The 17,064-nt window shown below is 45.9% G+C and overlaps 2 annotated features.

The window, feature by feature from the left end:
- Positions 1,889-2,388: an enhancer, noted in NCBI's record as "H3K4me1 hESC enhancer chr15:62120313-62120812 (GRCh37/hg19 assembly coordinates)". NCBI's record gives its function as "activates a minimal SCP1, AML or CMV promoter by ChIP-STARR-seq in naive H9 embryonic stem cells {active_cell/tissue: H9 hESC(naive)}" and the evidence as "EXISTENCE:reporter gene assay evidence [ECO:0000049][PMID:30033119]".
- Positions 2,389-2,890: an enhancer, noted in NCBI's record as "H3K4me1 hESC enhancer chr15:62119811-62120312 (GRCh37/hg19 assembly coordinates)". NCBI's record gives its function as "activates a minimal SCP1, AML or CMV promoter by ChIP-STARR-seq in naive H9 embryonic stem cells {active_cell/tissue: H9 hESC(naive)}" and the evidence as "EXISTENCE:reporter gene assay evidence [ECO:0000049][PMID:30033119]".

Genomic DNA, 17,064 nt, shown 5'->3' with positions numbered 1-17,064 from the left:
TCTCATAGTCATAACTAGGACCATTCCAGATGCAGCGGAGAGAAGTTAATTTACCACTTACCGTGGGTGACTGAGGGCCCCGGGGCCTAATTAACACTGGGTTTCTTCTTTTTGCTGTTTCTTTGTGACACGTTCTCCCATTTTCCATCTTCTTCACATTGGTTTCTCTAGCTTCCTGCCTCTTCTGAACCTTTTATTTTTTAATCTTTCTTCTTGAATGATTTCCTGTATCCTCCATCCTCCTTCCTGTGCATAGCGGGAGAAAGAGGAGTCCAGGCCAGGGTGGGGCACATTCATTGGTAATGGGTGAAGATTCTGCTTGACTTGGAAATCCACACATAGAAGGGGTGGGACCTAAGACAAAACACACGTTGCCATATGTAGCCCCACCAGGATTTTTTTCAGGTTAACTATGAAGAAGAAAATCAAATTCAACAAATATTTGCATTACCTCTCCTCCCTCCACAGTGGCCAGCTTTGCTATGAAAACACAGTTGTCTGACCTATCTCACCTACATGCAGCTTTTCAGTCCTCCCTTTAAAGTGTTTTAAATGTAGCTTTTTTGATAGATAATATGTGTGCATGGCCCGAACTCGAACAGGTCCAAGGGTACACAGGGGAGAGTGCTTCCTCCTGATCAGCTCTTTCTTGATGCAGGTGGCATGACCAAGAGCTCAGCATTGACAGGTGAGGTGGAGTCTGGCCCTCCTGGATGGCGGGAGCTGGGTCACAATGGTGGCTGGGCAGGAGGAGGCATTCTGGCTGATGGTGGCAGGCTTCATGGACCGACCGCAGGCACAGAGGCTCTGGTCATGCTTGGCAGCAGCTCGGGGCCATTGCCGTGTATCTTTTCCCTGCTTCCTCCCTACGCCCTACCCCCCTGCTGTGGGCGGTGACCTGTCCTCACTGTAGCCTGTGAGCTCTCTGCCCCTGGGTGCAGGGCTGGGATGCCAAGGAGATGGGCAGGATTTTCTCCCAAAAGTGTCCAACCAAGTTCTGGCATTAGTACTAAGAGGGGGCTCGGCAGGTTGAAGACAATGATTTGTTATTGTTATTGTTTAATATTCATTAAGCGCCTGTAATGTGTTGGATGACATTGAGAAAGATTTGTGGCTGGTGAAATTAAACTGAGCTCAGAACTGGCCTGGTGCCTCGAGGTCCCTGGCGGGCCAAATTCTGGTTTATTCTGTTTGTCCACAAGAATGACCTCACAAACCAGGAATGAGAAGCCCCCACCAACAAAGGCCTGCTGATAATTCTCCTTAGAAAAGGCATTGATTCTCATCTCTTCTCCCACCTTGGGTTAAAGAGTGGACAATAATGCTGTTGCCTTCAAGAATGAGACAGCCAGAGAGGGAAGGTGACCTGAAAAGGTGACAAAGCAATCAGTGCAAACTACATCCTTGGGCCAAATCTATGACATCAGCAAAGCTGGGCTTCAGTCCTTCCCTCCCTTTTCCCCTGGTCAGGGTGCTCCTCCCTAAGACAGGAGGCTCCTCATCCTTGCTCCCCTTTCAAGACCACTTGCTGGGCACCCACCATTTACTCATTCATACTAAAGAGTAACTGGCCGATAGCTAACATTCTGATATTCTCGGTACACATCATGCATTGTGCTAGGTGTTTTTACCTCTATTATTTCACTGAATTCTCCCACAGCCCTTGATGGTAAATGCTGTCATTCGCCACATTTACTTAAGGTAATTTACTTAATAGATAGCAGGAGCCAAGGTGCTTGGTCTCCACCCTAGAGCATTATATTTACCACACCTGGGCTAGTTTACCCTTTAACAAAGCAGAACGTGGCCAGGCACAGTGGCTCACCCCTGTAATCCCAGCACTTTGGGAGGCCAAGTCTGGAGGATCACTTGAGCCCAGGAGTTCAAGGTCAGCCTGGGCAACATGGTGAGACCCCCCGCCATCTCTACATTAAAAAAAAAAAAAATAGCTGAGTGTATTCCCAGCTACTTGGGAGGTTGAAGTGGGAGGATTTCATGGGCCCAGGAGGTCGAGGCTTTAGTGAGCTTTGGTGGCGCCCCTGCGAAGCACTGCAGCTTTAGGCCCTGCGTTCATTCCTGGCCAAACATTTGAATCACCTGGGGGCTTTTAAAGGCTGCTAATGCTGGAGCTCCTCTCTTGAGATTTGGATTTAAATGGTCTGGTGGGAGAGGGGAACCAGCGTTGCTATGTTTGAAACACTTACCAGGTGATTCTAATGGGAACCTGGGGCTGAGAACCCCGGCTAAGCAGGAAGACCAGCAGGGGGCCCGTGCACTCTGAGCACCGGGAAGAGGTGAGGGATTCACCGGGAAAGATGGCCGCCCGGGCTGGAGGCACAGGGCGGCAGCTGTGACTGTGCTTACTAAAGAAAGCTGGTCTTCACCCCTGGGAGGTGGCGCATATGTGCTTCCAAATGGGAGGCCGGATGTGGCTGGGCCAGCTGATATTTTGGAGCCCAAGGACCGATCGCCAAGGCCACGTCCTCAGGGTGGCCTTCAGAGGGATCTATTTCAGGAGGGACCCAGAAAGTCGGGACTACTGTGACCCTTGCGTTTTTTCCCCACCAGTGTTGGCTGGCTTGACTGGAGGAGATGCTTTTGAAGGGCTCTGAGGTGCCTGGGAGGGGCCCTGGAAGCCAAGCCAGGAGGGGAGTTTTGGGGAGGCGGGAGTGGGGGAGGGTGCAAGAACAAGGCACAGGAGAGACCAGGGAAAGATAATTGGAGCCCTTGGAACTGAGCTCCCAGCGACAGCCTCTGCCCATAGCGTGGAGAACGTTAAGTCCAGCTCCCTGGAGGCAGAATTCATCTCTGCGGTTTCCCTTCCAGAGCATGTGGCCGGCATCTCCACTAAGACGAATCACAGCAGGGCAGGTTAGTTCTTCACCAGTGTCCTCATTTGCATCGTAAGGAGACCTTGAGGTTTGAGAATGTGTTTTGTTCATCTTCATATCGTTTCTCCCCCGAAACACTGCTTAGCAAACAGCCAGACACATAGCAGGTACCCACAAGGGTGACCAGCTGTCTGGGTTTGCATGAAGCTGAGAAGGTTCCTGGGATGTAAAACTTTCAGTGCTAAAATGGGGGAATGTCTTGGACAAACTGGGACAAGTTGGTTACCTTAGTGCCCAGGGAAACCTCAGAAGCAAGAGCCCAAAATGGTGGGTGGTTGGTTGGCTTCACTGGGGCCCCAAAGCTGCCATGGATAGTGTTGGCATAGCCTTTCTGGGGGCGGCTGTCACCCTAAAGGGTATCCCTGGCATGGCATAAGGACCCTGCCACAGTCATTGACCCCATTAGTTGTTTCCATTTCTTTGGATACACAGGAAATAAACACCAGCTGAAGGGATGTGTACCATATGGGTGGTGGGGGAGGGAGAAGGGGAGTGAAGTCCTAAGTCATAAAGTCTTCATGGGAAGGTGGGAAATTCACCTCTGCTTCCAACTAAGAAGAGAAAAATGTTTGGAAAACAAGAGCTGGCTTCAAGAATGGGACACAAGGGGAATTGTCCAGGGCACAGCACACCGTAATGGTCAAGATAATTGCTACTGTCTTTTGATCATTTGTTTTGTGCCAGGTATTGTAGTAAGTTTTTTTTTTTTTAACACATTTGTTGAAAAATAGAGAAAACCACAAAAAACCTGAAAGTGTTCCATAGTCCCACCACTATTCTGGGGTGGTGGGGTAGCAGTCTGGGGGGCATCCTTCCTGACTTTCTCCCACCTGAAGTGGGTGGATCTGTGTCTATACGGGTATGTCTTTACAAATGCAATCAGTCTGTACATTTTGGTCTGTAATGGATTTTTTTTTAAAAAATGTGTATAAACATTCTTCCTTCCAGATCATTGGATACTGATCTTCTTTGTTCTTTTAACTTCTGCGTAGCATGCCATATGATTGCAACATATTTTTTCCTACCCATCCCTTATTGGTAATTTACTCAGATATTATTATTTTCATTTTGTTATTGCAACACCTCATTAAACCTTTTTTACATATCATTATGCATGTGTACAAATGTTCTGTTGAATATTTCCTTAGAAGTGTCTGAATCAGAATTCATCCACATTTTTACTTTGTAAATATTGCAAAACTGACACCCAGAAAGGTAGTGGCAATTTATTTTTCCAACTCCTTTTCTCTACACTCATGCCATTACTAGGTGTTATCATTTTTTTTTTTTTTTTTGCTGGACCTTTCAATGAAAAGTTGTATTTTGTTGTTTCACTGTGCATCTCACTAACCATCTTTTTGATACGAAGTTGAGCATCTTTTCATCTATTTACTGGCCATTTGAATTACCTCTTCTGTTCATATCTTCTGCCTGGTTTTCCTCTAAAGTACTAATAGTTTTCTTATAAATGTATTAGAGTTCTTTTTGTGTAAGAGATACACTTTGAACCTTATAGCCTGTTATTCTTTTTTACTTTTCCAAATAAGGTTTTAATTTTAAAATCTTTTAAAATCTGTGAAGTCATTTCAGTTTTTTCTCCCTTAGGAAGACCTTCCTTATAATGTTATAAAACTGTTCTCGAATGCAGTCTAAAATTTTATGCTTTTTAGGAATGCTTAGTTTTTTTTAATCCATCACAAGACGGTATCATTTTTTTTCTTTCAGAGGGATATCCCATTTTCCCAAGACTTAAGCTGCCACCTTTATCATTTATTAAATTCCCACATAGACTCACATATTTTTCTCCCCTCTTGCCTTTTCCACTGATCTTTTTGTTTATTACAGTGTCATTATTGCTTTGATTAGTGCAGCTGTTGGCTACATTTGCCTTTTAAAAGAATGTTTCACTATCACTTGTCTTGTTGGTCAAAAATTTCTTGACAATCCTGCAAAATTTTATTAAGGATTGCAACATCCTTGTTAAATTCTTTGCCCATCCTTTTACTTTTAAATTAGTGGCGACAGGGAAAATCTGTAGGACCTTAGAGATACCAGTAAATAGAGATTGAGCAACAAAGTGAAAAAAAATCTAACAAAGGAGAAACATGTATTCTATAGGTGTTGCCGAGTGGTAGCCTGGGCAGATTTTATCACAGGGGAAGTTAACACACAGAAAGCCCCCATCTTTTGCTTACCTTCTTTATTCACCTTTAGGCCTGAAAAGACATATTTTGGAGAACATGTATTGACTGTTCCAGCTGTGAGCATGCTTCCTGCCCTCCCTCCAGGCTGCCCAGCAGTGCCGCTGCTGCAAATCCAGGTGAGCTAGAGGTGCTCAGAGACAGAAGGGGCCACCTTGCATGGGAAAAATGAGTTTCTAGCTGCTGAAGGTGTTCAAACCTCCTGATGGAGTTTTCTCAGAGAAGATGGGGTCCCAGGGTCTGATGATCTGTGCTAACCCTGAAATTCTCTGATTCTGGGACTCAGGAATTGAATATATTAATGGGAAGGTGATATGGTTTGGTTCTGTCCCCACCCAAATCTCATCTTGAATTGTACCTCCCATAATTCCCACATGTTGTAGGAGGGACTCGGTGGGAGATAATTGAATCATGGGAGCAGTTCCCCCAATACTGTTCTTGTGGTAGTGAATAAGTCTCACAAGAACTGATGGTTTTATAAGGGGGTTTCCGTTTTGCTTGGCTGTCATTCTCTTTTGCCTGCCACCGTATAAGACATGACTTTGCAACTCCCTCACCTTCTGCCATGATTTCAAGGCCTCCCCAGCCACGTGGAACTGTGAGTCAATTAAGCCTCTTTCCTGTATAAATCACCCAGTCTTGGGTATGTCTTTATTAGCAGCGTGAGAACAGACGAATACAAAAGGAAGAACATATAATGCATTTAACAGCAGCAGTAGAAGTGGAAATCATAGAAGGGAGACGGGAGTCTATCAAGTTTTCACTGGAATGCAAATCTCAACCTGAAGAGAAGGACTGTGTGGGGAGAGCAGTGGCAGTGCTATTTTAGGAGTGGATGGATAATACTTTTTAAAGGCAGAATACAAAACTGGCATGAGGCAAGATCCAGGAGTAAAGGAAGACTTCAACCATCTGGTCATCAGCTGGAGTCTCAGGCTGCTAAAAACATAAATTCTTGTTTGGCCTTGCTGACAATTTTATGTCCAAAAGTTGAGGAGAAGAAGCAAAGAGAAAAACTGGTCATTGGGACCAGAAAGAATTTATGTGTGGGTAGGAAAAGACAAAGATCCCAGAAGAAAGTGGCCTTCATCTTAGAATCTAAGAAGGAAGCAAGCTGAGAATGAAGTGAGGCATGTTATTTACACTGGAGGAAAAGCAAGTCGAAACAAGGCAAGAGAGGGGGTAGTAATTCTTACCTTTCAAAGTCTTCAAAGTTTATATGAGTTACAAGGACAGTAGACTCTACAATGCCATTGTTTGTGTTTCATCAATGACCCAAAAGAAAGAGATAAAGAAGGCTCTTAAAAAACTAGCATAGCCCTGCAAAAGATGGGAGGAGGAGTGGGTTAGTCAGGGTTCTCCAAGGAAACACACCAATAGGATGCACATATAAACACACATTTTAAGGAGTTGGCTCACATGATTGTGGGGGCTGACAAGTCTGAAATCCATGGGACAGGCCTTCAGGTTGGAGATGCAGATAAGAGTTGCTGTTGCAATCTTCTGTTCAGATTCCACAGGGCAGTAGGCTGTAAACTCTGGCAGAGATTCTGTGTTGCAGTCTTGGGGAGAGTGCCTTTACCTCGGAGAACCTTGTTTTTGTTCTTAAGGCCTTCAGTGGATTGGACGAGGCCCATTCACATTGTGGTGGGTCATCTGCTCTACTCAAAGTCTACTGATTTAAATGTTAATCTCATGTAAAGAATACCTTCACAGCAACATCTGGACCAGGGTTTGAGCAAGCAATTGCGCACCCTTGCCTAGCCGAGTTGACACACAAAATTAATTCTCAAAAGGAGCATGTGGCCAAAGGCAAATACAAGAACATGGTGATCATGAAAGATGAGTCCCAGGAAGGCTGGGAAAGCTGAGAAATGGCTGAAGAGTCATCTAAAGACCGTGGTGGGGACGCTGAAAAATTAGTGTGCAGTAGATGTATGGTGGCTTAGTTTGTTTGAGCTGTTATAACAAAATACCATAGACTTGGTGGTTTATAAACAACAGAAAATTATTTCTCACAGTTCTGGAGGCTGGAAAGTCCAAGATCAAGGCACTGACAAATTTGGTGTCTGGTGATGCCCTTCCTGGTTTATAGATGGCGGTCTTCTGTCTGTGTCCTCACGTGGTGGAAGAGGCCGGGAGCTTGCTCGAGCCTCTTTCTTCAGGACACTAATCCCACTTAAGAAGGCATAGCCCTCATGACCTCATTGCTTCCCAAAGGCCCCACTTCCAAACACCATCATGTTGGAGAATATGTTTTCACATATGAATTTTGGGGAGACACAAACATTCAGATCGTCGCAGATGGGGTGTTCAGTAGAGTAGGGTCAGATCACTTGTCTTTCCTCTTTACTGATCAAGGAGATGTGTCTCTAACCTGGGCTATGTAAAACATAAGCATATTAAAGAGATGTGAAGCTGAAGATAAGAAGAGAGCCCCCAAGCACCTTTAAATCTACAAGCCTATGGGCTGAGACCACTTTCAGCTCAGGGCACTGAAAATTCCTGGAGATGTGACCACTGAACCCCTGTCTGAAATTTTAGAACACGGAAAGCCAGAGGGGGGTCAGAGCACTGCAGACTAGCTATTTGGCTTTTCATAAAAGGAACATACTGCATATAAGGCCCTAGTCAATTTTTAGAAGAAATTGCAAGCCAGTGGTAGCATTTAGAAATAAAGGGTTGCAGTGAGAGAGCCAGCCTGGGGTAAAGGATTTAAAATGTTCTGTGCACCTGTGCCTTGGGTGCCTCATCCCAACCCTGGGCCCAGCCTTGCCTGCCTTCACCATATCATCCACACTTGCAAGTGAGCAGAGTCAGAGGGTAAGGGGCGTGCCCAAGATCCCACAGCTGGAAATAAAAGAACTCAGGTCATTAGCAGATCTCGTGCTCTTTCTTTTACTGTACAGCAGGGGTTGTCAAACAATGGCTGTAGGCTGAATCTGGCCCACCAGCTGTTTTTGTAGGTTCTGTGAGCTAAGAATGGTTTTTTACATTTTTAAATGGTTAGGGGAAAAAAAAACACAAAAAGGGATTTCTATTTTGTGACCTGTGAAAATGATATAAAATTCAAATTTCAGTGTCCATCAATAAAGTTTTATTGGAACACAGCCATACCCACTAGTTTATATATTGTCTGTGGCTCCTTTTCTGCTAGAATGGTAGACTAGACACCATGACAGAGACCCTCTGATTTTCAAAGCCTAAAATATTTTATCTACCCCTTATAGAAGAAGTTGGCTGACCCCTTCTCTTTAGCCCTTGGCCAGTTCTTCTCGGGCTCCTATGTTAACAGCTACCAGAAAAAGATAATGAGGACATGTCAGAACCTGGGAATGAAGGGTATGAGAACCATTTTTCATATTGGCATGGCTTGAATTAGGTAATTCCATGGAGCATGGGAAAAGAAGGGGAGACAGGACAAGGCGGGATGCTGAAAGATCCTGGAATTTCATTTAATTCCATTCAGTCTGTTAAATGGTGGGTCTGGCTTTCAGCAGGGCATTTGCAAAGACTCTCATGATATCCCTGACCTACTAGAGAAAATGTGGATTTGATGACAACAATTAGATGTATGTGTCGTGGGCCAATCAACTTGTACCCATAGGATTTGATTAATGAATTACTGGCAACCTTGGGTCTCTAGTAATACACTGTAGGGCCATATTTTTGAGCCTGCCCTGTCTAACATTGACATTGAATGTTTGTATAAAGGCACAGAGAGCATGCTTATCTACTCCAAAGTGAAATAAGGCCAGGAGCATTAGCAGTTCAAGTCAGAAGACCTGGGAGTTTCATATTAACAAGAAGATTATAAACCAAGAGTGTGAGATGATGGAAAATCAAATCCATTCCTAAGACAGAAGAGCAGTATAGTGCTGAGATCAAAAGAAATGACAGGACTTGCATTGCATTGGATAGATGTGCTGGGAGCACCGTCTCTTGTCCTAGGCTTCAAATCTTAAGAGAGAACTTTGAAAGAGAGATGGCTACGGAGAAGCTTGGCCAGGGTAATTCTAAGTCTGAGAATATCACATCAGAAATAGGAGAAGGCATCAGGGATATTGGGCTTGGGGAAGAGAACTGAAATATGGCATTGTCTTGGTTGGGCTCTCCAGAAACAGACTCTGGGACAAGGATTGGGTCCACGTGCTTTATTTGAGAAGTAAAGAGAACACGGGAAGAGGGTGGGGAAGGGATCCAGGGCAGGGAAGCAGCTAGTAAAGGGTGTGTTATCCAGCCAGCTCCCACTGTGATGAACTGGGGCTTCACACTGCAGAGAAACTCTGGGAGGTGGTATAGAGCGTGCTTCTCAGTCATCCCATTCAAGGCATGAGGACTGGGACATTTGTATGTCGACACCCACCCTCATTGACTAAGGGCTATGCCCAGGGGTCTTTCCAAGGCTTCTGAGGGAGCCTAGACACAGAGATGAGGACACTGTAGTGGGAAGGCTATATCATATGGATAGGATACTAATCCATGTGCTACAGGCACCTGTCCCCAGGTATTGGAAGAGCTGTAATATGGAAGTAAACCTTGGGTGAGGAGAAATGAGCCTTTTCTAACTTTTGTGGCTCCATGAATTGATGGCTTCACAAGGTGATGTGAATTCTAGCAGCAGAGCCTGAGGGGCCAGATCTCGGATATGCCATGGGGAGATTCTGGCTTCGAGGGAAATGTTGAAAAGGATGGCATGCCATCCCTTTCCAGGCCAAGATGCTCCAATTTTATGAATGAAATTCTCCTGGGATATAGAGGTAGTGAGTGGAAAGCTTGGTGGTGAAGGTGAGTATCCAGAGGAGGAAGGCCACCACTGGTCATCCCCAGCCCACGAACCATACCACGTACCCCATCTAACCTCAGTGGAGGCCAGCCCTGGATAAGTGACAGGGGCTGCCAGCCAATTCTAGTCCAGGACTTTGATCCCCGGACTCCCAGCATTAGCATCGCTGAGCAAAATTGAAGGGCACTTAAAATAAAGCCTGGGTTCAAAAACATCCCCTTGGGCAAAAACATCAATGCAAGACATTGCGGATCCTGCTTGTTCACCAGCCCAGCAGCCCCACAGCTTCGTTGCAGAGGCCTTTAGGCTCTGTGGCTCTGTGCCCCCTTTGAGCCTTCCCTCCCAGACCCTCCGTGCGGGAGCTCAGCAGCTCACGACAGAGGCAGCTCATTATTTTGCTGCAGTTGACTTGAAATCTGAAATCAATCGGGTATCAAATATTCAGTCCTCGGTTTGATACTGTTTTTCAAAGGTGTAATAACGTTCAGAAATGACACCGCATTTCCTAATTATGAAATTCTGTCGTTGCCGTTCAGTCTAGAATGACTTGGCTGCAGGGTTTTTTCTTTTCTTTTTTTTTTAAGGTTTAGCATACAGTACGATTATTTTAAAATTGCTTTGGAAGAATGTATTTCATCAGCAAACTACGAGCATGCTTATTACTGAAGTTTGGAGGCAATTTGAGAGGAAGGATAAATTAGCACAGACTCTGGGGGCCTCAAAGCGTGCCCTCCCTCATCCTCCCTGCTCCCTCTCCCCGGAGCTCAGGAAACCTTTCACTCTCGGTGCCTCTACAACTCCTGCCTGCTTCACACACGTCCACCAGTCAAGGTCATTAATGATTTGGGGATGGGGAAGGGCTGATGGGGAAATTCCTGCTTCCCATGAGAACCACGGCACTGCTGAGAGGAAGGATGGAGAAGGGGCAAGAAGTTAACCCAAGAGCTCCCTACAAATCCGGGATCCTGAAAGCCGGTGTGAAGAAGAGCTGCTGTAGATAGCAGAGCCTGCGGGAAACCAAAGGCTTTGCTTGCTCGGGGACACAGATGCCTTCGCGAGAAGTGGGACTGTCGAGTGAGCTGCCAACACTTAAACAGTGGTCAGATGCTGGGTGTGGTGGCTCATGCCTGTAATCTCAGCACTTTGGGAGGCAGAGGCGGAGGATCACTTGAGGTCAGGAGTTTGAGACTAGCCTGGGCAACATAGTGAGACCCCATCTCTACACAAAATTTAAAAATTAGCCAGGCATGGTGGCATGCACCTGTGGTACCAACTACTTGGGAGGCTGAGGCAGGAGGATTGCTTGAGCCTGGGAGGTCGAGGCTTCAGTGAGCCATGACGGTGTCATTGCACTCCAGCCTGGGTGACAGAGTGAGACCCTGTTTCAAAAAAAAAAAAAATCATAGAGGGTGGTTTATAAACAATAGAAATTTATTTCTCACAGCTCTGGGGGCTGGGAGTCCAAGATCAAGGCACCAGCAGATTCAGTGTCTGGTGAGGGCTGCTTTCTGGTTCACAGCAACTTCTCCCACTGTGTCATCCCATGGTAGAAGGGGTGAGGGGCCTCTCTGGGGTCTCTCTTATAAGGGCAGTAATCTCATTCAGGGCTCTGCCATCATGACCTAATCACCTCCCAAAGGCCCCACCTCCAAATACCACCACATTGGGAATTAGGCTTCAGCATTTGAATGTTGGAAGACATGAACATTCAGTCTACGGCAGGAGTGAATTACTGACACGATAGCATGGTGAATCTCAGAAATGCTACATTTAATGCAAGAGGCCAAACAAGGCCATGCTATATGAGTCCACTGATATTACCATTCTAGAATAGGTGAAACTATCTATGGTAAAAAATATCAGAAGCATGGTTGCCTCTGGGGAGGAGAAGATTGATTGGAAGAGGGCATGAGGGAACACTCTGTGGGGATGGAAATGTTCTGTATCCTGATGAGGGTGTTTCTCCATGGGTGTATATGTTTGTCAAAACAAATGAAACTGTGTGCTTTAAAAAAGTATCATGGTGGCCGGGCGCGCTGGCTCATGCCTGTAATCCCAGCACTTTGGGAGGCCGAGGCAGGCAGATCACAAGGTCAGGAGATCGAGACCATCCTGGCTAATACGGTGAAACCCCGTCTCTACCGAAAATACAAAAAATTAGCCGGGCATGGTGGTGGGTGCCTGTACCCCCAGCTACTTGGGAGGATGAGGCAGGAGAATGGCTTGAACCTGGGAGGCGCAGCTTGCAGTGAGCTGAGATCGCGCCACTGCACTCCAGCCTGGGGGACAGAGCGAGACTCCGTCTCAAAAAAAAAAAAAAAATATCATGGTGATTTACCACTGCTGTAGATGAATGAGATGAAGGTAGATAGAAACTCATGGCCAATCGTAGCCACATGTAAGCCTGCAGGTGACTCAGCTCCACAGGAGGGCACCACCTCAAGGGTTTACCCTTTATCTCTGCTAAGAAATTGAGTCACTGCAGCCTTCTATTCCTGCTTAGGGGCCTGCCCTCTTATCCTAGCCACGAGCTAAATATCTAAATACTGCCCCACTCTCAGGGGAGGCAGCCTTGTTTTCTGAGTAATATATTCAACCTAGAGTCCACACCATTCATATCTTGGCGAGAAATGCCTGGCAGAGATTGCATTAAGTCAAATGCTAGAGGACAGAGGCTGATGACGTGTGTGCCTCCCGGGGCTGGTGTGAAGGGAGCCACCTCATTCGTATGAGATGATAGTTCCCAAGGAACGTTTTCTTCTTCCTGTCTGTCTTTCCTCCTTCCTTTCTTTTTTTTTTTTCTTGGTAGCAAAGACCTCTTCACATTGACAAATTATGAATATGCAGAAAAGATGGTATGAGACCACTCTGCGTCTCTGAACTGAGGCCAGTTTAATTCCTAGGACTCTAGTCACTGGTACTTTTCCTGCATTTTCAGCAGCACCTGAAATAGATTTTGCTTCATATGAAATGCAAAACACTGCAGAGTAGAAAGCTCACCCTGGTCTCTGATCCAGGCGAGTGTTCTCAAGCCTGGTGTTCATATTTTTTTCTCCCTTTCTTCAAAATACTGCCTTGCTAAGCCCACAGATGGGGATCATAGGATAAGTAGATGCATAATATATTACCCAAAATATTCCACCAGGCATCTTCTCTTACAGGTCAGGAGGACTTGCAAATGGAGCCTTCTAGGTCACCGCATTTCCATCTGAAGGAAAGTCTCCCTCATAATTAAGATTATGTCAGCATTTCCATTACGGAACCCAGTGGTAAAATCCACTCTGAAGTGCAGCTTGGTTTTAAAGCTCTTCGTCTTGGAGAGAACTCTTTGTCTCTCTGATAATGGTTTGCCTCGCTTTTTACCTTGGAAACTAGAGAAAGAAAAATGCATAGTAAGTCAGGAGTAGGGGGCTATGCTGCCCTGCGAAGCCATCAGTGGGCCTGGCTATTGGTCAAGGAGTTGGGAAGAGGAGGTTCGGGGGCCCCTGCGGTCTCCTGGATGGCAGACCAGTGAGGCAGCAGGAGCCTCTGTGTCCCAGCTGGGGTTCCCCAGGCTGTCCCCTGCTGATCCTCTCTATCGGAATCACCTGGGCAGAGCCTGTTCTGAATGCAGATTCTTGCCCTCCTATGGCACCGTCTACTTGACCCACCCAATCAGAATATCTGGGGCGGGGCCTGGGAATCTGCATGTCCTAACTACCTTTCCCAGATGATTCCTTTTCCCAGGAAACCTGAAGTTGCACGGGTGTAGACTTTGCTGTATTGTTGCTGGTGACCTTGGCCAAATCTCTTTACCTCATTATTATGCCTCAGTTATAAAATAACAGCTAACATGTATTGAGTGCTTACCCTGTGCCAAGCATGTTCTAAGGGTCTCATGAATTAACTCATCTAATTCTCACAGCAGCCCTATGAGGTGGATACTATAATTATCTACACAGAGAGGTTGAATAAGTTGCCCAAATCACACAGCTAGTAGAGCCGTAGCGTGAGCTTTGAAGCCAGCATTCTGGCTCTGCCGTGCCATGCTGCCTCTTGGAGGATAATTATAGTTCTCACTGTCCTGGGCTGTGAAGGGGCAAATGAAGTGGGAGATGTAAAGCTGCTTTGTGGCCTGCATGGTTATTTTTATGGTATTTTTATCTTAGGTTATCTTTATCCAGTTCCCTATTTAAGACTGTCTTGGTCCTTCCCAATCTCCTCTTTTATCCTCTCTTCCCCCTTCCCGGTCCCACGCAAATCTTTGATTTGTGAACAACTAATCTCACTGGCTAATTTACACTCAGGTGTTCATAAATGATGACAGCCTAATGCGATTGTTTTTCTCAGATAACACCCTTTCATTTTAGCTGGAGTTTTAACTCAGAATTTCTAATCTGCAGGCACCAGGGACCCCCTTGCTATCTTCCCCCTTCCCAGCCCTGTGCTCCGTGGGTGTTTCTGAAAGAAGCAAACTTCATTAACTAATTAGGAATCTATTCCATATATACATCTTTATATTTTATAAAATGGGAGATAATCCACCGGTATTATTTCTGGGGCTTTTCTAAAATCTTGAAAATGCCAGGAGACGTCCTCCTCATTACCATCTTAATGGGTTGCCAGGTGTCTGGGGACCTCTTGGAAGAAGCCATTTTCAAAGTCTGTTGTTTGTGGTTGTGGTGGGTATGAGTTTGTGACAGGATGTGTCCTGCCCTGGCTTTGGGTCAGGCTGGTCCAGCTTACCAGGACTTTGTTCCCTAAGGGGTTGCTGAGAGGACGGACTGCTCACAGGGCAGCTGCTGAGGTACAGAACCCACAGGTCGGGGACACGGTCACTGCCAGCTGCCACTCAAGAAAGAAGACGTGGCAGGAAGTTGCTGTGAAAGGTGAGCATATTAGCACGAGAGTCATAGTGTCCTTTTCCCCTCTGCGAAACCGGTCTTGTTCTCTGTTTCATTAATTTATACGTTCTCTGTGCTCGGTATGTGCATCTGTCACGTAGCAGTGGCTGAAAAAGTGCTGAGTGTGGGATGACTTGGTGGCCTGTGGAGTGGTCTGTGTCACCTCCTCCCCTCCCCATCATCCATGCTCCTCCAGCCACACTGGCCTCCTGTGGTTCCTTGAACACAGCAGCCACTTTCCTGCCACGGGCCTTTAGCTGGCCTCCCTTTCTTAGGGAGGGTTTTGGTCCTGGAAGCCTGACATCCTAGGAAGCCCTTCAGTCCTGGGAAAGCAGAGGCAGTTGGTCACCCTACATGTCTCTGGAACACTTTCCTCCAAGATACCAACCAGCAAACTCCATCCCTATCAGCCTTTTGCCAAATCTTCCCTTCTCAGTGAGGCTCACTGCATCCATCCTTAACATTCCCCACCTCCTATTTTGCTTATTTATTGTTTTAATAACACTTGCCACCTTCTTTCATACTTTGTTCTTTATATATTTATTATATTTATTGCTTATTGTTTATCTGTTGCCACTAGAATTAAGTACCATGAGGGCAGGGCTGTGTGTCTATTTGGTTTCCTGATTTATCCAGAATGCCTAGAACAGTGCCTGGCATGTAGTAGATAATAAATATAGGATGGTTGGATGCATGGATGGATGAATGAATGACAGCTCATATATTCTGTGCAAATTTTACTAGATATTATTGGTGGGTTGGGGGATTTAAAAAAGCATGAACTATATAGTCCTTGCTTTCACACAATGTATAATTTAGTAGGAGAAAGATAGCAAGAAGAGGCAGCCAAGCCTTTCCCATCTGAAAAAGATTCATGACCCACCTTGGTTGGGTCTCAACGGTGTTATATGCCTGATTCCACATCTCTGTCTCCAGCTTAAGTCCTGTGTTCAAGCTTCAGCCCCATCCACCACTGCCTACCAACCTCTCTGTCGTCCCATAGTCCAACAGAACGATTCACCAGCAATTCCTAACATGCACTGCTTCCTGTTTCCACTGTTTCATTGATAACACTACCGCCTAGCTAGTCAAGCTAGAAATCTGTTTTTCCTCACCTCTCATATTCACCAAGTCTTATTAATTTTAGCTCTGAAATGTTTCTGAAATGCACTTTCACTCTATACCAACAACCAACCACTCCCCACCCCCTGCCCAGTCCAGGTTCTGTTCAACAGCCTCCCAAGTCTTCTTGCTTCCAGCCTGGTCCCCTCAGCTCAGGGTCTACACAGCTGTCATTCTTTCCCTACTGGATGTCCAACACATGCCAAGCCTAGCGATGGGTGCTAGGGATACAGCCGTGCAGAAGACAGACAAGGCCCCTATTCTCCATACATCAGTGGGATCCACATTAATAAATCATACACTGGCCCTCTCTGGCTTAGAACCTTCAAATCTCATCCTCATTATTCTTAATTATTATTCATTACCCATGTTTGGGTCATGAATCCTTTATAGAATATGATGAAAGCTAAATTTATGCACAAAAGTTTCCTTACAATGTCAGGGGAGAGTACACTGGACTTGGAAGGCAACAGACTTCAAGAATCCTTGACCTGCAAGGTCAAGTTTCCCCCTTTTGTAAAATACACACAGCCATCATGGCTGGACCTGTCGCCCCTCTCCCCACTTTGTCTCTGGTCATACCCACCTGTCCCACTCTTTGGTGTCCCAGCATCATGGGACTTCCGAAGTTCCCCACATGGATCATCCATCCATCCATCCAGTGACCGTTAATTAAGTTTATATATATATATATATATATATATATATATATATGTATGTTTTTTTTTGAAACAATCTTGCTCTGTCACCTAGGCTGGAGTACAGTGGCATGATCTCGGCTTGCTGCAACCTCTGCCTCCCAGGTTCAGGTGATTCTCCTGCTTTACCCTCCCCAGCAGTTGGGATTAGAGGTGCCCGCCACCACACCTGGATAATTTTTGTATTTTTAGTAGAGACAGGGTTTCACCATGTTGGCAAGGCTGGTCTTGAACTCCTGACCTCATGGTCCACCTGCCTCGGCCTCCCAAAGTGCTGGGATTACAGGCATGAGCCATCACGCCCAGCCAAGAACATATCTCTTTAGATTCCGAGTCACCAGAAGCACAGAGGCAAAAAAATGATATGACAACTGCCCATCTGGACTTTACATTCTGGCTCCATAGCTTTCTCTTGCTCAGGCTGTCCCTTCTCCTGGAACCCCTGGTGTTCTTTCCTTCCCTGTTAACTGACCAGTGTCCACT

The sequence above is a fragment of the Homo sapiens genome, chromosome 15 (genome assembly GCF_000001405.40).
Source record: "Homo sapiens chromosome 15, GRCh38.p14 Primary Assembly".
Taxonomy (NCBI): domain Eukaryota; kingdom Metazoa; phylum Chordata; class Mammalia; order Primates; family Hominidae; genus Homo; species Homo sapiens.
The sequence above is the reverse complement of the archived record's forward strand: the minus strand, read 5'-3'. Positions and strand labels throughout refer to the sequence as shown.